This window comes from Homo sapiens, chromosome 3 (genome assembly GCF_000001405.40).
Source record: "Homo sapiens chromosome 3, GRCh38.p14 Primary Assembly".
NCBI lineage: Eukaryota > Metazoa > Chordata > Mammalia > Primates > Hominidae > Homo > Homo sapiens.
Genome location: NC_000003.12, coordinates 169,106,759 through 169,129,039, shown reverse-complemented (window position 1 = coordinate 169,129,039; position 22,281 = coordinate 169,106,759). Strand labels below are relative to the sequence as shown.

The 22,281-nt window shown below is 35.3% G+C and overlaps 1 protein-coding gene across 38 annotated transcripts in view; it reads left to right on the top strand.

The window, feature by feature from the left end:
* MECOM (MDS1 and EVI1 complex locus) overlaps positions 1-22,281 on the top strand; it is a 580,206-nt gene that overhangs the window by 534,673 nt on the left and 23,252 nt on the right. For 8 of the 38 annotated variants that reach the window (NM_001205194.2, NM_004991.4, XM_047447679.1 and 5 more), the window contains 6 exons: positions 980-1,196; positions 6,313-6,460; positions 7,831-7,984; positions 12,301-13,657; positions 16,166-16,253; positions 21,088-21,114. In NM_001205194.2, coding sequence (NP_001192123.1) covers positions 980-1,196; positions 6,313-6,460; positions 7,831-7,984; positions 12,301-13,657; positions 16,166-16,253; positions 21,088-21,114 — 1,991 coding nt within the window. Of the gene's footprint in view, positions 1-979; positions 1,197-6,312; positions 6,461-7,827; positions 7,985-12,300; positions 13,658-16,165; positions 16,254-21,087; positions 21,115-22,281 lie in introns of all 38 variants that reach the window. The other 30 variants (XM_005247213.4, XM_011512546.3, XM_047447677.1 and 27 more) reach the window with 7 other exon arrangements.

Below are 22,281 nucleotides of genomic sequence, written 5' to 3'. Positions count from 1 at the left end.
GTAACATCTTCCTTGGCCATAGGTCTATAAAAGAGGGATTATGTGTCATATTGTTTGCCGTGGGTATTTTTTAGCAGTGTGAGCTGTTTTCAAGACTTCTGTGATTGTATCTGTGTGATCTGTGCGGAGTGTGGCTTTATGAGTGGGCTGAAAGCTATTCAAAAGACAAAAATAGAAACAATGCCATCACTACCTGACATTTTATAACCTTGTTATCTCTATACCACACTACTACCATTTATTTATCTTATTGATTTAAAGTGCAAATTAATGATATGTTTTCTATTTAACAAAGCTATGACAATTAGCACTGACCCTGGGGTAACATAAATTAGCCTAGAAGGGTACTAAAAACATCCTGTGTCCCATTATTAGTGATGATGAATGTTAAACTATTTCCAAGTTTGCTGACATTAACCAGGTTAAACATGGCTCAGATAGGGACTCTGTGTCCCATGTTCTTTCCAGATAATATGGCACTGGCATAATAAGAAGTGTATGGAATAGAAATGGTTTCAAAACCTTATACAGCCACATAGCTCTATACTCCCTGACTGTTTACATTTGACTTCTGTGAACCTGAAATTCTCATCTGAAAACCAGGATAAAAATCTGACTTACAATTCCTCATAATCAGGTTTTAAGGAATGTCAGTAATCCACATACAGGGTTGAGAAAATATATGATGCTCAGTAAGTCGTATTTATTATTTTTAGTATTCTCTGGACCTGAAAAGGTTTAGTCAAAAAGTTTTACTGATCAGGAGGAATATACTCTAGTCACAGCCATTGCTTATGTTATTGTTCCAGTCTCTGTCCTTGGTTCTTTACATATGATATTTCTAATCCAGATTAAAATTGACAAGATAGAAATGACAATCAAATAATACCTATTATGTCTTGTAAAATTTGGTAAGATTGGCTGGTTTGTGATGGCAATTCCTGACCACCCAATCCTAACACCTGAATTGTTTTCACAGAAGAACGGCAATATCGCTGCGAAGACTGTGACCAGCTCTTTGAATCTAAGGCTGAACTAGCAGATCACCAAAAGTTTCCATGCAGTACTCCTCACTCAGCATTTTCAATGGTTGAAGAGGACTTTCAGCAAAAACTCGAAAGCGAGAATGATCTCCAAGAGATACACACGATCCAGGAGTGTAAGGAATGTGACCAAGTTTTTCCTGATTTGCAAAGGTTAGAAATGGCATGTTGTACCATACAACTTGTGTATTTTTTCTGCAATGTTATGCTGAATTTTGAGGCTTTGTGCAGATGGAAAATTTGGAACTCCAGTGAGCTGGACAAATGCACTCGTGACATGTTCAGAAATCATATTTGCCTGGATATTCTCATCTGTAAAACATTTACAGTGAAATTGGAATTAGTTATTTTGATGTCAGATGAAAAATAATGTTATATTATTATTAAGTAGTGTTATTAAAAACTGAAGGCTTAACTTTATAGTAAATTGTGATTTAGAGAAAATATAGTGCTGGAACAAATTAAAGTAATCATATGTCAAGAAACAATAAAGCTACCCCTAGGAACATTCAGATGATTTTTTAAAGGACTAGATCTGGTATTCACTTAATGACAGGTAAATGATCTTTTGATAGAGCAGTAATTCATGGATTTAATTTCAACAATTGATCTAAATTACATATATATAAAAGAATAAGAGAAGCATGTTTGATTTCCCAAAGTGTTGAATTTCCTAAAAGGAAAAAGAGAAACACAATAACGTAAATGAAGTAATTCTTTAACACTTATTTTTAACACAATAAAAATTATATTTCAGTGACATATTAACTTTTTATAGCCTTTTGAATTTTATTCTATAACTTTTTAAAATTGCTGATAACAACACTAGAACCTACTTTTTGAAAAGTATATACTAATTGTACTACAGAATGGTCTTTAAGATTAGAACAGTTTAGAACAGTTAATGGGTTTTTTTGTTTGTTTCTACCTAATGATTTTTGCCTTGGTCCACAAATAATTTTAATAATTGTATTCACTATTTTGCTTTTAAATCTGGAAATTATCCTTGAAACTTGTAATCAGAATTTTAAATGAACATCACATTATATTTAAATGGGAATGGTAGTATATCAAATGGCCTTACTCAAGAATGGGAATTACTCAGATTTTGTCTTTGACAGTCCAACTTCAGTTTACCCTTTTGTTTCCTTTCCTTCTTTCCTGGATCCTTTTCTTCCTCTCATTTTCACCTCATGTTTAGCCCTATATCCTCTTCTCCTGGTTACGCCTCTTTTAGGAAAGGATTTCATCTAGTAGTTCATTTTAAGGCATAAATGACTAAAAGGCATTAAGCATAATCCTTTCTGTTGAGAAGACTGAATAGAAAGGATAAGTATCTAGCTTTGAAAATTTAGGACTAATTTAGCTATTAGAGAGTAAACATTTTACCGAACAAGAGGGCTTTCCCAGAACTTTTTAAACTCACCTCTGCCACTTCATATAAATCTTCATAGAGAATAAATCAATTATGTATGTTTAGTAAAGTGTGGATTTGTAATAAAAAAGCCACAGCATGTCCCTTTAATATAATTGTGCCCAAATTTAAAAAAAATGAAGCTAACAAATACAAATGAGTAGGAAAAAATATTTAAACTGTAAAGTAATATCTCTGGTGTCAGAAATAAAGTCCATTTCCTTCAGTTGTGTTATAAAAAATAATGAACGGCATTATAAAGCAAAAATTGACCAACTAAACACTAAAATGTAATTCTTACTTTCTACTAAGAGTGTACAGCAATACTTCTTGGGTGGAGAAAGCCTCTTAATCTGCCTAGCTGTAAGATTAAGCCTGAGTCAACTCTATCTAATGCTGAAACCAACTGTTAGTTTAGTTGATTCAGTCAAACATTTAGTAGAAAACAATAAGGAAATCTAATTATCTGTCATTGCATGAATTCTCAACATTTATATTTTGGTAGTCCAGCCATATGGATAAAGCATGTCACTATGCAATTGAATGCTAATCCTCCAACTGGTATTTTTGGTTATAAATTATATGATCTAGCCACATTCAGAACCTTTATTTTCTGAATATTTTTTCCTTTATTGAATGCTATGTTGTCACTTTATGCTTTAAATGACAAAAATTACTTTCTGGATTTGATCTGTTCTTCTGCTGTCTATCCTTTATGTAAAATCTTGAGAAAAGAATGCAAACAAAAAAATAGGAGCAAGAAAGAAACAAAGGTCAATGTGCAAAAGGTGAAAAGAACTGAAAAGAACTCAAAAGTCTGATCAAGGCTCTATAGATTGAGATAAAATTCCACGAAAAGCAGAGAAGTCTCACTGACTGACTGCATTGCTTCTATGTTTATGAAAGCAATGCACATTTACTTTTGTGAAAATGACTTGCTTTTTTGTGCTTTTTATTACTGATTAGCTGGAAGCTAATAATACTATGGAACAATATGGAGTTTCTGCCCGATTAGAAACAAAGAAGGGAAAATTCCTTTTGCTTTGTTATCTTTTTACACCTACATGTTCATAATATACTCTTAAAATTAAACCATATCCTTGGAATTAGGGGGAGGAATAAAACTCAACATATAGGCCAAGCTTTTGCCACTAGATTTCAGGGTTTATGATTTGATATATAGCATAGTAGAATATATATCATAAAATGGCTTGCCTGTATGGGTTGCTAGGGACGGACAGTGAGAATTGCAATCTGTACAGTGATTTTGGAGGATGTCCCTGACTCATTTCAATGTTAACGACAGTTGTTGGTATCTCTGTCTTAACTCTTTTATTAACATTCCACTCTGTAACAAACAGAGGATTACATATCGTAGATAAAGTTAGGGCCTTTCTTATGACTCCACACACCTGTACTCTCCTAGTACCTTTTGTTCACAGAGGTATCACCACCTGTGCTCAGAATAGCATTTCCAACTCAATTGATTCATGGGGCAGGAAAAATGAGTTCTTGTGCCAGTACGAATAGAGTTGTGGGGAGGAAGCTGAGAAAGAGAAAATTAGGAAATGCATTTCTAATTTATCAAGATATGAGAATGGGCACTTCATTTTCTTACATATACTCCCAGTCACACAGTCTGTATGACCACTGGATAATTTATTCTAGGTGCACAAAGGTCTTAATTGGTACTGATATTTATAGCATTCATCACACAAAGAAATAAAAGAAAATAAAAGAATGCTTTCATGGTTGGTACTTTTTCTTTTCTAAATAAGTTTTTTATTGTGGAGCGCTTCAAATATACACAAAACTAGAGAGCGGATAGGATTTTTAAAATCCCATATGTTCAGCTTTAATAATTATCACATGAAGCCAATCTTGTCATTATACCTGCTTTGAATTATTTGAAACAAATTCTGGACAGTATATCATCTTATTCAAAAATAGTTCAGTATGTGTCTATAGAAAGTAAGGACTCCTTAAAAACATAAGTTCAATACCACATTAAAAATAATTTCTTAATATTATCAAATATTCAGTAAGAGCACAAATTTCCTCAGTTATAAAGTTTACTGTTTTGTTTGAATAAAGATCAAAATAAAGTCCACATATAGCAATTGATTGACAAGTCTGTTATGACTATTTGAATCTAAAGGCTCCCCCAGAGGGCAGTCTCTTTCTCTCTGTGTCTCTCTCTGTCTCTTTCTGTCTCTGTCTGTCTCTCTCTCCACCACCTTCTTTCTCTTATTACAATTTATTTATAGAAAATTATAGAAGAAACTGAGTTGGATTCTGCTGTTTATATCATTGTGGTGTTAACATCTTTCTCTATCCCCTCTAATTTCCTATAGACTTGTAGTTACATCCCAAGCCTTTGCTGGGATTTACGCTCAGTGTTTCACCAAGAAGATTTCATTGATGGTGCCATTTATTTCTACCCGAAGTCACATAATGGATTGCCTAGATTCATTAATTCTTTAGGAGCTTCAAAACGAATGTACTCTAACTCTATCATTGTTTCATCATTTATTACCTGGATTAATTTCGCGTAGAGAACCTTCCCTTCATAGCCTATTTGTTTACCCCAAAGTGCAGTTTACATAGGAAAAGCAGATATGTGCACAAATATTTTCCCTTTATTTACCAGTTTTAGGAATAATGATTTGGCTTTCCTGCATCTTCCTTGGGAGACCATTGGGGTTCTGTTTGTGTTTTGAATATCTTTATTGATAAAAGAGTTGCTGTTCTTATTGATGCTTCACTTGCCCCACCTTTGGTCAGTGGGCATCTCTTCAAGTTGGAACCCTAATTTTTTGGATATTATCTATAAATTGCTTGCCTTTTGTCATAACAAGATGTTCAAGGGCCATCTTGTGAATTTCATAGTTCAGATTTGAAATAAGCTATTTTACCACGGAGCTCTGGTTACTTTATTTGGGGGTAGTATCCCAGTGTGTTATGTATTTAATCAATAAAGGTGTTGCAGACATCTTCTATCACATAATCCATTATCTATAATATTTGCTTTTCATTATATTCATGCAGATTTCATATACAAATTTTAGAAAATGGGGGCAAACATTTGAGAAGATAAAACAATTTAAACTTTAAAACAGAGAAACTATGCTTGTGAGAAACTTCTAATCATGTTTTTCTTTTAGGGGACTTAAATGTTGCATCCACTTAAAATATTACACACTTTTTTGCTCCCCAATTCTTAGGTTTTATATATTATGTAATATATATATATGATACACACACACACACACACACACATCCATGCATATATCCATGCATCAGTCCATCCATCCATCCATCTGTCCATCCTAGATTCACTAGAGATTATATACATTAGACAGAATACTTTTAAGCATTTTCTGTTTGAGTGTTTGTGTTTCAGTTAAGTGAGTATTAAGCTCACAAGTGAGCTTAATACTCACTTAATTGACTACTCACTTAATTGTGAGCTTAATACTCACTTAATTGTGTTTCAATTAAGTGAGTATTAGCAATACGTGTTGTTGTTAGAATTGTGTAGTGAATCCAAAACTGGACAAATAGCTTGTTGTTTATCATGCTTTTAAATTGGCAGATAATCCCTGCCAGCTGTATCAGATTTATTTTCTAACAACAAGAACACATCTTCATATTGGTGACACAGTCCAGGAGACACAGTCCAGGAAATATAAAATGCACTTTTGTCTGTCACAAGCCTGTTTCTGCTCTTCCCTCCTTCTCAGTTCAACTCCTTTTCCTTCTTGTTTCTTTAATTACCAGTTGGATTAACAATAAAATGTTGTTCCGTTTATGAATGCATCCTTTGTCTTTTAAAATCTATTGTTCTCTTAACAGCCTGGAGAAACACATGCTGTCACATACTGAAGAGAGGGAATACAAGTGTGATCAGTGTCCCAAGGCATTTAACTGGAAGTCCAATTTAATTCGCCACCAGATGTCACATGACAGTGGAAAGCACTATGAATGTGAAAACTGTGCCAAGGTACAGTGAATTTGTAGGCTACTTGGCCTCTCTATGTCATCCTGCTCTCTCTTAATCCATCACTTGCTACGATATATAAAAACAAGCCTTCAGAGGGGAAACTATAAATATCTTGAGAAAAGTACACTGAGTGTTGTATGCTAAAAGGCATTAGTAGAGTGTATAAAAACACTTAGTGGGTATCCTTTTATTTTTGTAAGGGAGGAAGTGAGGCTTAATGGTGAGTTCCAGAACTAGGTGTCAGACATCCTTGGTAAATTCCTGGTTCCGCTACTGATTTGCCAGTGTGGAGTTGTTTTATGGCCTTGCGGAGAATGAAAATTTTATCCAATTCATGTTACTGATTTCTTTTAATAGCAATTTGTGAGGAAGTCACATAAAATTTCTGAATGCCTATTCAGAAAGAATGGGTGACTCTTATATTTGCAGATTTTTCCAACCAAGGGCTCACCATAAATTATGACTTGGTTCTAATTAAAATGTATAGAGCCTCTGTCAGTGCTGAACAACATAGGGATGATATGGAAGTACTCAACTTAGACCATAACTGTGAACTATGGTAAAAGTAATTCACTTCTTTTAATTTCATGTTTCTTGATTAACTCAAAGATGTCCTGGTGTCATTAAAGTTGCTTTCTATTTCCAAAACACATTTCCTAGCATTTTAATAGCTTTTTTTTTTTCATGCCAATGGAAATTTCTGTACCCCACCAGGTTACTGGGTAGTCATTCTCCTGTGATTACCTTGTTCTATGCACATTAAAATTTTGTATGTTTTTTTCTCATAAAAATTAAAAAATACATTTGAAATTTCTTTAGGGATGTTTTGCTCTCAGATGTGTTGGGTGGCTTTTTTATTTTTGTTTTTAGTACAATGTCTAAAGGAATGGTTTTAGCTTGCTAGTAACTCACTGAAAGAGTGTTAGAATTTTACGCCCTAGGGAAACTCTTTAAATAGATTTAATGTAGTTAGTCAAAATCCTCCAAATTTTTGTACACAATGTGTCTTTATTTAAAGGGTGAAAATAGCACACCAGTTTTAATAATGGCTTAACCAGCATTTTATTATTCAACTCAAGTCACTCTAAATGGTATCAAAAAGGCCTTGAATATGGCCTAATAGTGCCATTCATTATTTGGTTCAACTGATACCAGTGGATACACCATGCTAAGGATATAGAGCAGAATAATTTACAGTTCCTACCCTAGAGGAGAGTACATTTTGGAAATTAGAGGAGAGTACACTTTTGGTCTTTGGGGAAAAGAAAAACAAAACAAATAAGAAAAATTTCTTCTTGAGTCATCCCGGGTCTTCTTTATTGTGCCCTTGAGTTAAGTTTCTTGATTAATCAGTACTCATTTCCTAGCAGGTTTTCACGGACCCTAGCAACCTTCAGCGGCACATTCGCTCTCAGCATGTCGGTGCCCGGGCCCATGCATGCCCGGAGTGTGGCAAAACGTTTGCCACTTCGTCGGGCCTCAAACAACACAAGCACATCCACAGCAGTGTGAAGCCCTTTATCTGTAAGTTTTCAACACTCCAGCCCTCCTTCCCACATCTGTCTCTTCCCCAAAAGGCACTGTGACCAGGAGAGTGGCTGCACATGGCCTTTAGAGGGTCACCGTGTTAGCTATTTATGGTCCAATCCAGTAGGGCTATTTATGATTACAAGTAAATCTTTTATAATCAGATCCATGGTATTTTGTCCTTGATTCCTGGGGTGTTTTCTTTCAGAAGAAATCAATAACAGGTAGAGAAAAGAAAATTCATTAGATAATCAAAGGGAAACCTCCACAGGTTGTAGGATTTAATCAGGACAATCAGATTTGTCTCATATTGTAAATGTTCATGGCTTTGTAAAGCAGCAAATAGCAGCCATCACTAAACAAGATGAAGTGATTAAAAACCTGTTCTGGATCAGAAAGAGCTGGAAGAAGCCCACCTGGGAAGTAGGCTTACGGCTCTGTGTGCATGTATGTGAGTATATGTGTGTGGAGAGAGCGAGGGGGATGAAATGCTTTTTAATCTACCCATTGTTGCCGATCACAGGCTGTCGGATCTGTAGTTCTCTGTTACTTGAAGAAAAGCAGAACATTTTCACTTAGATGCTGGACATGCTGTTTCTCTTACCCACTGCACCAAAGCAAGTTTATAGGCAGTGTGCTTTTAGGGGACATCTGATCTGACCACCTACTTAGAACATCCCTGTACAGAGCACTGTAGTAACATCCTTCAAATACAATAAAACTCAGCTCTCATTTGCTTTTTCTTCTCTCCGCCCACTCCTATTCTCTGTATTGTGCTCAAACATTTTATAAGTAAAATCAGTTGTTCTTAGTCTACCTGGGCAAAAAATCTGGGCTTCTTTTAATCCATTGCTTGGCGGGGCATATAAATACAATGACTTATTGAGTTGTGCTACAAACGTCAAGACTGATTTTGGACCCAGATACACATAGAATTGGTTGAAGCATACTCAGCACTTGGCAAGACCTCTGACTTTGGTTTGTAGTAGGTATATGAGACACTACTACAGGACCTGATGGAAAAAACTATTTTTCAGTGCCAACATGGAGATGCCAGAGACTAACTCTCCTTTGCCTCGACACAGCTTTCTTTTGTGTGTCCAAGCACCAAAATAGCTTTTCTTTCCTTTTCCAGCTTACACTAGAGTCCTGTTTTGCTCATATGCTCTTCTGTTCCCCGGGTGAAGAGGACTAGCAGATTAAAAAAGGGTGCTCTCATCTCCCTTGGGGAAGCTCTATTGAAGGTCACGGGAAATAAAGCATTCAATAGAAATTTTAGACTTCTTGTCGCAAAAAGGCATTCCTGACTCTTAAGTCTTAATGCCCTGAAAATGTACTTGGAAGTACTACAGGCATACGATATTAAATAGTTCATTTATTTCTGATTCCTCAGAAATAAATTTTGGTAAGTTTTATTATGTTTTGATGTGAGAAAAAACTAGAATAAACCACAAGGAATTCTGATCACTCATTTAATGCTTTCTCTATTATTTAAAATAAAAGTCAGAAAATATAGACTTCTGCTATCGAAGATTCTGGGATCTGGAATTTTAATTGTGTTGAAGACAAGTGTTTCACTTTAAAGTGCCATAGGGTGTCCCTTTCCAATCAGATTGCATAAAGTATTTCCCTTGAATGTATTTTCAGTAATTATTGGTAAATTTAAATAGCAGATGGCATTCTTCAAATTTAAAATCTGCCAGAGAACCATGGAGTAATTATGAATAATAGCCATGTAATTTCAGAACAAAAGAGATTAAAGATCAGGAAATGGTGTGGAGACTTGAGTGGAGGAGGTTCACCTAGGGCTGATATCTGTTTCTCACCAGAAGGCCACACACCACGATTTACCCCCACTGGTGTGTTTATGGCAACTGTCTCTTATTACAGTGTGCTGCCACGCTTGAGCCCAAAGTCACCAGTGCTAAGGTAATTACTCACTGCCTTTACAGAAACCTACAGCTTTCCCAAATAGAAACCACATGCTCTAATAGGCTGAATATATTCAAAATGCCTCTTAATTTGTTTAATAAGTAGAAAAATGCAATGTTAACTGCTGGCTAATTCCTTATTACTGAGAAAATTACAGTAGAGTATAAACTTCAACATCAATTGAACCAGTTTACCTGGAGGCCTGGTAGTTTGTGGTATGCCAGGCCAGGCCTTCAAGTGCCGAAAACAAAGCCTCTGCCTAAGAAAACATCCCAGATTCGATGTTCTTGAGCCCAGACACAGACAGCACTCAGCCATGTAACAACGGGTGCCACCAGAAAAGTCAGCTGAACTTCTGTTACTCCAATAGAGAGAAGCTCTTGATTTTTTTTTTTTAAGCCATCTGATTGTAAGAAAGAAGTGTAGAGAGCAACATTTCCTTGCCAAAAAATGACAAGTCTTTGAAAAACTTATGTCTTGGTTGAATACTCATCAAGACATTTTTTCAATGCCTTTTAAGAGGTGTTGCTTTCTTACTTTTTATAATTCCAATAATAAAATATTGTTATTGCTTGTAGCTATAAATTATTCTAATATATCTAGTAAACATCTGATGTTTCTACCTTCTCCATTATTTGATTTTAATTAGTGTATCAAACAGTTTAAATTAGATGTATATTTATGGTGTATGGTTAAATTGTATATACTTTTAAAGCTGACTCTGGTCGATATATTCTGGTAAAATAATTTGAAAAGATATCACCCACATCTTCTATTCCCATTAAAATGCATGTTACAGCCTCTGTAACGTTGTGATTCATCCCACAATTGAAGGCACCTTTAATATTACCAAACACTTTGATATATGCAACAATACACTTTAACCTTTAGTAGTAAAAGAAAGAGATATACCCTTACTTGGTACTTCCTGTTTGGATGTATGTGGGATAATCCAAGCTCTGGGTGAGTTTTGCTTGACTGAAAGTCTATAAAATCTCCTTGACATGAGTTTTTTTTTTTAATTATTATTGCTTTGACTTAGAAGCACAATCATTCTGCACTTAAAGGCAGCCATCATATGAAAGCAATAACTGTTGCATTTTGTCTTCAATTTAATTTCTTAAAATAAATTTGCTTCAACAATTACCAACAAGGTACATCTTGTTTCTGCATGTATTGAACATGCACAGAAGTGTTAAAATAAGCTCACACATAACGTGGCTCAATCCCGTAAAGTAAAATAAAAAATGTGATGCTCAGGGTACTGATACTGTAATACTGCTGGACAGTGAAGTGAGTGATTCTTACCTGGTAAAGGAGTTATTAAGGGTTACAAAGTTTGGTCTTAAAATATACTTGGCTATAGTGGCACATGTGTGAGGAGGAAGATTCTACTTTATTGACAAATTCTTAGCAAAGAGGCATATTTCACAGCTGCATCCAATGCTGTGCCCTTCTTTCTGGATTAGAGCTTTCACAGTGCTCTCCCCTACTGAGCATAGTTGGCTATAACACACAGAAGTCAAGCCTGAGATAACCAGTGTAGATATGACAACAAGTGGACATGTTTCCCAAGGACGGGGTTTTCATAAATGCAGGAAGGTTAGCACAACCACTGGTGTGAGGGGAAGTCAGAGGACGTGATCATAGTTCATGGGAACCAGCAATGCAGGATGGGCTACATTCAATTTAGTTTCCTTTGCAGGCTTAAAATAGAGCCATTGTAAATTATGTCAGTCTTTCTCAAATCATGAAAATGATTGTTAAAAAAAGTCTCAGAATACACAATGTGCATTGTTGTGTGGCTTTGATGTGTGAATGATGAGAGCATATGATATAATACCAATTAAATAATAGCAGGGCAGTCACAGGCTTTTTCCCCAAGGGGAGAGGCAATAAAGGTGAAGTTTCTGGTTGAGGATATTTTATTTTGTTTTGGTGCCTACAAAATAGAATTTTTAAGTACTCTAAAATTTGAAAGGGGTTCTTGTTGTGTTTTGTACGTAATGCATTTTAAGACTAATTTTCAACATTATATTAGTATAATAATTGTGTGGAGAATCAATGCATGATGGAATTTAACTTTTCATAAATATTTAAATACACAAATATTATGCAAAATATTGCACAAGGGGGTGACAAGATATATATATCTATATATATGAAATATTTGTGCTGCCTCAAGACATTTGTCAGGTTGGTTGCCTTGCTTTGGAATCTAGTGAAATGGGGTTTTCTGTGTTTGGAGCACCCAGATTGGTGCCTCCAATGTCTTTTACTGGCTTCCTAATTGAAATTTTGAGTAAACCAATTGTGATATTTGCTAAATTCAGAAGCAATTGACATAAAGCCTGAGATTCTTTTTTGTTGTTTGCACACAGGTGAGGTCTGCCATAAATCCTATACTCAGTTTTCAAACCTTTGCCGTCATAAGCGCATGCATGCTGATTGCAGAACCCAAATCAAGTGCAAAGACTGTGGACAAATGTTCAGCACTACGTCTTCCTTAAATAAACACAGGAGGTTTTGTGAGGGCAAGAACCATTTTGCGGCAGGTGGATTTTTTGGCCAAGGCATTTCACTTCCTGGAACCCCAGCTATGGATAAAACGTCCATGGTTAATATGAGTCATGCCAACCCGGGCCTTGCTGACTATTTTGGCGCCAATAGGCATCCTGCTGGTCTTACCTTTCCAACAGCTCCTGGATTTTCTTTTAGCTTCCCTGGTCTGTTTCCTTCCGGCTTGTACCACAGGCCTCCTTTGATACCTGCTAGTTCTCCTGTTAAAGGACTATCAAGTACTGAACAGACAAACAAAAGTCAAAGTCCCCTCATGACACATCCTCAGATACTGCCAGCTACACAGGATATTTTGAAGGCACTATCTAAACACCCATCTGTAGGGGACAATAAGCCAGTGGAGCTCCAGCCCGAGAGGTCCTCTGAAGAGAGGCCCTTTGAGAAAATCAGTGACCAGTCAGAGAGTAGTGACCTTGATGATGTCAGTACACCAAGTGGCAGTGACCTGGAAACAACCTCGGGCTCTGATCTGGAAAGTGACATTGAAAGTGATAAAGAGAAATTTAAAGAAAATGGTAAAATGTTCAAAGACAAAGTAAGCCCTCTTCAGAATCTGGCTTCAATAAATAATAAGAAAGAATACAGCAATCATTCCATTTTCTCACCATCTTTAGAGGAGCAGACTGCGGTGTCAGGAGCTGTGAATGATTCTATAAAGGCTATTGCTTCTATTGCTGAAAAATACTTTGGTTCAACAGGACTGGTGGGGCTGCAAGACAAAAAAGTTGGAGCTTTACCTTACCCTTCCATGTTTCCCCTCCCATTTTTTCCAGCATTCTCTCAATCAATGTACCCATTTCCTGATAGAGACTTGAGATCGTTACCTTTGAAAATGGAACCCCAATCACCAGGTGAAGTAAAGAAACTGCAGAAGGGCAGCTCTGAGTCCCCCTTTGATCTCACCACTAAGCGAAAGGATGAGAAGCCCTTGACTCCAGTCCCCTCCAAGCCTCCAGTGACACCTGCCACAAGCCAAGACCAGCCCCTGGATCTAAGTATGGGCAGTAGGAGTAGAGCCAGTGGGACAAAGCTGACTGAGCCTCGAAAAAACCACGTGTTTGGGGGAAAAAAAGGAAGCAACGTCGAATCAAGACCTGCTTCAGATGGTTCCTTGCAGCATGCAAGACCCACTCCTTTCTTTATGGACCCTATTTACAGGTAAGCGTGTATGGAAGATGACGAAATATGAGCAGATGTATGAAAGGCGGTATTTCCACTGTAAAGTGATGGCTTTTTAACACATCATTTTTACTATTATTATAAAACAGAGTGAAGTTGTTTGATCTAGTGAACTCATTTTTTATTCTGAAAGTTGGATCATTCTGTTTGAACTTATTTTTGGATGTTTCTGAAGTTGGGGGTTTGGAATAGGCCTACAGAATTTTTTTCCCTTGACAATAAATTTATTTTTAAACACTTTTTTTGGAGTGGAAAATATGGGAAAGTCATATTTAAAGTAAATTGTCAAGTGGCGGAAGAATGAGGATCCTGAAGGATTAATGCAAATATGCGTGGGTACTTAAATGGGTCAGGTTCTTTGGAATGGGGGGGATATCTAACAGCAAGAGTCCACTCTTTTTTGACCTACCAACACATCCTTAATAAGGGCTGGTCATATTGTTTCTAAATAAATCTCTCAGGAGCCCCCAAGTAAATGAAATATTAATCACAGAATATGTTTTGTATATAATATGAGTAGTTGGCTTAAAAAATGTCTCTGTTTAATAGCTTCATTATCCGGTTTCCTTTGATGTAGCAAAAAAATCTTGGGGTGAAACATACAAGTTTAATAAAAGGCCTTTTTGGCAATATTCAGTAATATTCACCTGACCAAAGTGATTTAGTTTTAAAATACTAGTTTTCTTTAAATGGGTATGAATAATAATATGTTTGTTACATATTTTGAATATTACAAACATTTTCACATTTACTTTCTCATTCTAATCTTGAACATTGTCAAGAGTTCATGGAACATCTGGATAATTTTTTATTGAACTTATTTAACATCGGAGTATTTTCATATTTTGCCTAATTCTCTTTCGTGAAGAGAAAATGTGCTATTATTTAATTCAACAATATTTATCAAGTTCATATTACTTAATAGGTACTAGAGCTGCAAGTTCTTCTCACTTACAATTCTTCTTCTATGTATATTATCTATAATGCGTTAACAAGGAAACACTGTCAGTATGGAAAGGACTACCCTCGTTTGAATATGATAAAGTAGTATCAAAGGACAATACAAAATAACTCAGTGCTGTCAGTACCAAGTTTGGCTGCTTTTTAAAATTATTATATCTCAATTAGTTTGGCAGTCCTGTTACCAGAGAAGGAAAAAAAAGAAAAACATGTCTTCCGTGTTTTGTGTGTAGATTGTATGTCACACATTTCGGGTAAAGTCGTATTTCCAACTCAATGATGTGTCTCAGTCCTTTGTTAAGATAATTTTTCAGGCTTTCCTTTTTGTACCCTCTCAGTAGCAACTGGCTTCTGATTCTTCCACATATCTCTTGCACTCATCCTCATCACCTACTAGCATTCCTCTTACTCACTGTGATCTCCAACATCTCTCTGGTGCTTGTCTCAATTAAGACCTAGGCCTGTCATTTTGCCAAACTCATGAAAGACCTAGAATCCAGTTTTAGTGTCAGACTTGGGTTGCAACCTCAGCCTTCTCATGTCTGAGACTTAAAAAAAAAGCATAAAATGGATATAACATCACCTACTTCAAAAAGTGAAATAGTATATGCAACACACATATATCACATATATAATATCAATAAGTGGTAGGTATTTTATTCTGCTTTAAGAGTGCACATATCTAAAAGTTTTTTTAATTACCAAGTTGGTAAAAGAAATTAATTCAATGAATTAATTCAACATAGGGATATTATTTCCCTATGTGCTTAATACAAAATAGAATGGCAAACATTTCTAAAGCAGAAGGGATATATAGGTAAGTTTTATGTGTCTCTCTCTATCTTCAGAAAGCTCCCCATTCTCTTCTCACCACACCCATTCTATCTGCCTGCCTTCTTTATCAGCAGTGGCATCCAAAGAGCATATATTCTCTCTCTCTCTCTGAATATATATTAAATATAATTTACATAAAATATTTATATATCAATATATTATGCTATATGTTTAAATATAAATATATATTGAGAGAGAGAGAACCTCAAAGAGTGGCTAGCAGTGTATATGCTTGGAAATGCCCTTACTATTATTGACAAATATGGAAGGAATAAAGTGCACATTTGGGAGAACACCTTCTTGGTAGAAAATTGCTCTAATATTCAAAATCAGCCTTGACCTCATGATTTCAAAATCATTAAGCATTCTTGTCTACATTTGGAATGGAAAGGTACTGAATTCATGACAAATGCCTCTAATTTAGTGACTCCTTATTTTTCATGTTTTCTCGTTATTCCTATTCCTAGTCATTCAGTAGGGTTTTTCCATTATAAATAGGAACTTTTCTTCTTAAGCACCTAGAAGTGTCATGAGGAATCTCCAAGAACTGGACAGATGTCTCTATAGTTTTATGAGTGCGCTTCCCAGAAACCTACCATTGACTTTATTGTTAGTTCCTTTAAATGTCAGTGATTATGTAGTGATTGATATGTGAGACTGCTTCATCTCCAAAATCTAATTTTAACCTTTCAGAGTAGAGAAAAGAAAACTAACTGACCCACTTGAAGCTTTAAAAGAGAAATACTTGAGGCCTTCTCCAGGATTCTTGTTTCACCCACAAGTAAGTATTTTGGATTTGAGATTTCCAGCTTGTAAACTAACTTGTTGATCCTGAAAAGCAGGTGCAATGAAATGAAAGACATCTTGAGAACATTAGGATTTCCTATGACGCTGGTGTGGAAGAACACAGGAAATTCTAGCAGAATTAAAACCCAAACTCTTTAAAGAAAAATTAGTTAATATATGTGTAAAAATAACATGATTTCAGTGTTAAATGATTGTCTGCTATTAACTGTTTATTGAGTTAAAGTGCATTTTGGAGTGAGCAGGATTCAGTTAAGAAAATAAATATCCAAGATGTGTTTTGTGTGTGGTGGTTGCTGATACTAAGAAATAGATCATACTGTGACTCGTCCCATACTCATGAAGGTCATTCTTGTTCTTTTCGGGCTTAGATAAAAACAGGAAATGAGTCTACCTGACAAGTTGTTACCATAGAGGGTGAAGGAATTTATCTAGAGACCACTGAGCATTCCAGCAAAGCTCTGTAATTGCACAAGAATTCACCACAATGCACAGTGCTATTTGCAGAATAGAATTGTGTTCATTTATCAAAATATATACAGTTTATCATTGCAAGGAAAATGCAAAGCAGCACTATCTCTAATTGGTTCATCCTAAAGTCCTTATACATTTAGTAATTTTAAAAAACAGGTTTACATATTTTCCACCATGTGGAAAATCGTATTGAAAGAACAAATACGGTATATAAACATCTTGAATGTGGTTTCTTAATTTAAAATTTATTTTACTTTTGTTTAAAGGATGCAAGCTCTGGTCTTTATAGATAGCAACATTTTAATAAAAATTCTTAAAAATAGAATAAACTAATTTGTTCTGTTGTAATATGTTCAAACAAAAAATGATGGTTCTCTAATAAAATCAGGGGAAGTTTATGCAAGCTGTCTTATGGAAAGCTATGAGGTAATTAAATTAATTAAATAAAGATCATGGGATATGGTTCTTTTTTCCTTTTCCTTTCTGTTACCTCTTTTGTATTTTTTCAAGTATCTTTCTAGAGTCCTGAATAAAGAGTATGAGAGTTGTAACACAATCTTCTGGGTTAGTTGGATAAATCTACTATTACTAAAGAACTCTCACTCCCTTTCAAAATGAGATAATATGTGGTTTAGCAGTAAAAGTTTCAGAAACATTCCAGTTAGTATTAATTTTATATAGGAAGATTAAAGAATGTTACTCACATAATTACTTTATGGAAAAGAAGTAAGTTACAAAACAGTTAATGTTTATCGGGACTATATTTTATATTTAGACTGATCTAAATAGTACTTGTAAAGTTTCATAGGCTAATAAACTGGAATGTAGCACATATTTTGTGTCAGATATTGTACAAAAAGTACATCTCTCTTGATACTTCCTTTATAATTATAAATAAATACTTATGAACATATAATATTCATGTATACATTAATGTTACAAAAATTAATTACAGTAATATTAATTACAGTAGTCAAGTGATTTTCATGTTCTGATAATCTTTACAATTTAGTAATTAACCATTTCAAAATTGAGTGCTATGGGTTCACGGTAGAATGGAGAAAAACCAAAAAGGGATTCAGTGTCTTTGAACATCTTAGTCTACCTGGCTCTTAGTTTTCCTGTTTGAAAAATGAGAGAGTCGGGTGTAAGGTTTCTATCCACTTTGAAATTCAAAGATGTTTTGCTAACTAAGGTAAATTTACCAGTTCATAAGATGGGCAGTTTTGTCAACCATTCATTCTGTATGAATTCGCAGCTGTTAGCAATGTAGTAGGTATATATTTTAAAATAAAATCATAAGAGAGCAAATATGTTATATTTTAACATTCCCAAAGTTAATTAAGGATCACAAAAGATGAGGCATGTGTCCAGTGCTTCGAGCATAGCAGTCATTCCTCAGATCTTCACAAACACGCCTGTGGGAGCACAGTGGCAGTGATTCCCTCCTACACCAGAATGTCACGTCTTGGTGTAAGGGATTCCCTATTGCTGCATGTTGCTATTAGAACAGGACCCAAGAGTGGTGATCAAAATACTTAGAACCTGATGCGTCATGAATACCTACCAATCGGAATGGATTTCTGCCATTCTGGAGCAGGATACTGGAGGCTTTTGCTGCATCAACTGCCAATGTTTTATTTGCTGGATAGTGGGACTATCTGAGGGGTGTTTGGGGAAGAGGCCAAGGAAGCAGGGGAACACTCAGGGTGCTTAGGGCAAAGGCTATTTACCGACTATTACAGAAATATTTCATTGTTTTTATAAATATCATGGCTGTTTTCTTGTGTCATGCTATATATAGCTGGGATACAAGCTGGGATACAGGTGAGCCCTCTTCCTCTTTCATCAAGTCTTACCCTTCCCAGGGTAGCTGGAAGAGCTGGCATTTATGTACGCAACATATTTAGCATTGTGCTTGGCATGTGGAAGGACCTAAATGAGGAAGAGCTCTTATTAGTGGGTGCAAAAGCATTTTATTATAAATATAAATATTTATGCCCAATTTCTTTGCCAGGGCCATGCCATGTATCTAGGAGTGCTTGAAAAGATGCTTATTGTATTCTTGGCATGACCTCACTGCAGAAGTAAGGGGGGCACAGATCAAGGAGCCAAAACAGAATGACTTGCCTCTGTTCTTAGTGCTTGTTATGATTTCATAGCTAATGTGCTTGCATAAAACTGTTCATTGCTTCATTTTCCATTTAAGTATATTGGAGTAAATCACATGGACCCTCTCAGCATCTGGATCTTCATTTCAAAATGGGAATAATATCTGCCCTATTTCTTGGGTTATCATAATAATAAAGGGAGGATCAAATTCTCAATGTTTTAGGGAAAAGAAAGAAGGATGCTTCATAGTGGTATTCTCTGGGCAAGTCTGGTTTTACAATTTTTGAATATCTTTATATTGTTCCCAGCATATTCCTTCCCATTCCATAATTCCTAATCAGTGATAAGTGAACACCTCAGTAAATAAAAATATATTGAATTTTATTGAAAGATTATTAGGCTATATTATTGCGTTTTGGAATAATACGTATTTTAAAAATTCTGTCAAAAATACTTAGAAGAGGCCGGGTGCGGTGACTCATGCCTGTAATCCCAGCACTTTGGGAGGCCGAGGCGGGCGGATCACCTAAGGTCAGGAGTTCAACAGCAGCCTGACCAACAGAGTGAAACCCCTTCTCTACTAAATACAAAAAAATTTAGCCGGGCGTGGTAGCACATGCCTGTAATCCCAGCTACTTGGGAGGCTGAGGCAGGAGAATCACTTGAACCCAGGAGGTGGAGGTTGCAGTGAGCTGAGATTGTGCCATTGCACTCTAGCCTGGGCAACAAGAGTGAAAGTCCAACTCAAAAAAAAAAAAAAGATACATGAATGCATACATCAAAATTAAAAGATGAATGCTGAGGGTCTAAAGTCTTCTCTTAGTTCAATTCTTGAAGAAGCATGTTTGCTCTATCAGGCCAGGTGAGAACTATTTAGTCTTCTAGTTTTCTTTTACAAATAAGTTAGTTTACTCTAAGGGAGAAATAAGCGTTGTAGAGGCTTCCCCTGCATATGTGATTGAAAATTATTTATGGTCACTGTAATTTTGAAAAGGAGTTGAATGGCCACAAATAGGTAAGATGCAGGGAATGTTATTACTGTGTGACCTCTGAATGTCCATTTCGTTTGTTCCTATTTTGGATCCTTTGCATTCACACTGATAGCCCATTTGAACATCCATGGAAGTCATTTTGCAATTACACTATTGTAAAAGTGGCTATTATTCCTTGGTTTGATTTTACTATACTTTTAATATTATTTTTGGTTATTTGCACATTTTATTTCCAAATGTTTGGCTTTGAGTACATCTGCAACAGACTCTCTTTTACTTACATTTCTATCCTTTCTTCATTCTTTTATATTTTCTTTCTTTTAAATTGGCTGATTATCATGCTACTACATTCCAAGGAACTGAGGAGACAGTCTTTTCCTAAGTTATAATTTACACATTGATGTGAAAAATCACTTAAATCTTCTGTTCTTCATCTTCTATTTTGCTTTCAACAAGTGTTTCATATGGTTAGATTTCTTCTGCAATCAAGTTTTCATCCTTTAAAAACTACATATATTCCTTATTAAATATACCAAAACATGTATAAGCAAAATATATATCTCCTTTAACCAAGCAAAATGATATTTTTAAGCGTATATAACTTTTGTGTCTCCTGGAAGAGCTTCTAACCCACTGAAGGTTTTCCCAGTGACTCTTGTCAGAATTTGTCATTAAGAGCTAGATCTTTTTAGTTTTCCATTAACGTTCTTAACTGTTCTGACTACTGATGGTCTGAGTCCTATGCTAATAAAAATCAAGTAGTGAATTTCCAAGTACATTATCCTTTCATTATCCTTTTGTTATTTAGTGATTCATATTTGAGTAAATATCTTTTCTTTGTTATTAACATTATACAAATGCAAGAGATTGGATTTTTACAGGAAATGGCCTAATTTTTAGTAATTAAACTAAGTTTAAGGATATTGTTTTATAGCAAGTAGTAGTTAATAAAAAGGAAGCATCTGCTTTGCTGTAAGATTTGCTAGTAGGTAGCATTTAGCTTTCTTGTGGAAATTAACCTTGATTCAAACATTCCATTTAGGTAAACAGAGGAAATTCAACAGAGTTATAACAATATTTAATTTTTATTTCCAAAGCTTTTACTCAAGGTACAGTTACATGATAAGCAAAAATTACTAAGTTAGTACAAATGTTAATTTCTCAAAGGATAGATTGCAATAAAGATACCAACACAGAAGTAATTTTTTGTTTTTGTTTCAATTTTGCTCCCAGTTCCAACTGCCTGATCAGAGAACTTGGGTAAGTTTCCTACTTATATTTTTGACTAAAGTGATGTAGCATTAAAAAGAAAACAGCTTACATTCTAAATTGCTGTACAGACATAAATAATTCTGAACCCCTTTCCATTACGTGATATGGTTCCAGCAGATAGTTTCCCTGCTTTCTCAAGCTGCATTCTTTCAGTTATAATTGGGCATTTAGTGGGATAGAAATTGTTTACAGAATGATTTTATTCGATAAATCTGATGCATTCCACATAATTATACCTTGATACGGAGCTCTTTCTGGACACCTGGGAACACGCTGTTAAACGAGGCTTCGAAATGGGTCACTAAGTGAAAACAACCATTATTTGGTGGAGCCTGTATCAGCATGTAAAGATGCTTTTGATAAAGCCTTCTAAAGGATAAAACCTGAACTCCTGTGTAGATACAGGCTGACATGGGAATTCACATCTATATATCCTAGGGCAGAAATTGGTTCTGGCTATTTGAAGATATAAAACTAAATGTTTACAAATTCATGTGTAACTAGTGAATGGATCTTTTAGCATCTAGTTTCACTTCCTTGACTTTCAGTTACTATTTCCAGATCCAGTCAGTTTCAATTAATAATATTAGGGGATAGCTTTATTTTTATTGTGGAAGATATTCAGGATACAAAGAATACTGCTTATTTAGTTTTTACCCCCAAATAAAACCTGGTCAGTGGAAATAACATATAGTTAAAAATATTCTCTAAGTATATGTGTTTTTGTTTCTCTTTTTCACTGAAAATTATGCTGATTTCTGATGAATGAGCAAAATCTTGGGATATAGTTTAGCTGTCCTTTTAAAGTCACTGAATCATTATATATAAACTTAATTGAAGCATTTTAGCACTAACCTATTTCCTCTATTTGATGTTAATTTTTCTTTATGAGAAATTCCTTCATTTTATCTCTTTTGTGGAATATGTAAAATTGTGATTTTTCTCATTCTGATAGACTTTTAAGGTTTAAGTTTATTTCAAATGTACACAAATATTTATGGAGAGAGAGGAAGAGAGATCAACCCACTAACTTAGGCAAAGTTGTGCAATAGATGGGGTTGTTTTCTGATTATCCTGGCCTACATTTCCAGTATTCTTCCTTTGCCTTTCCTGGTAGAGATCTGTCTTGAGTATTGTGCCTCACGGTCCTCATCT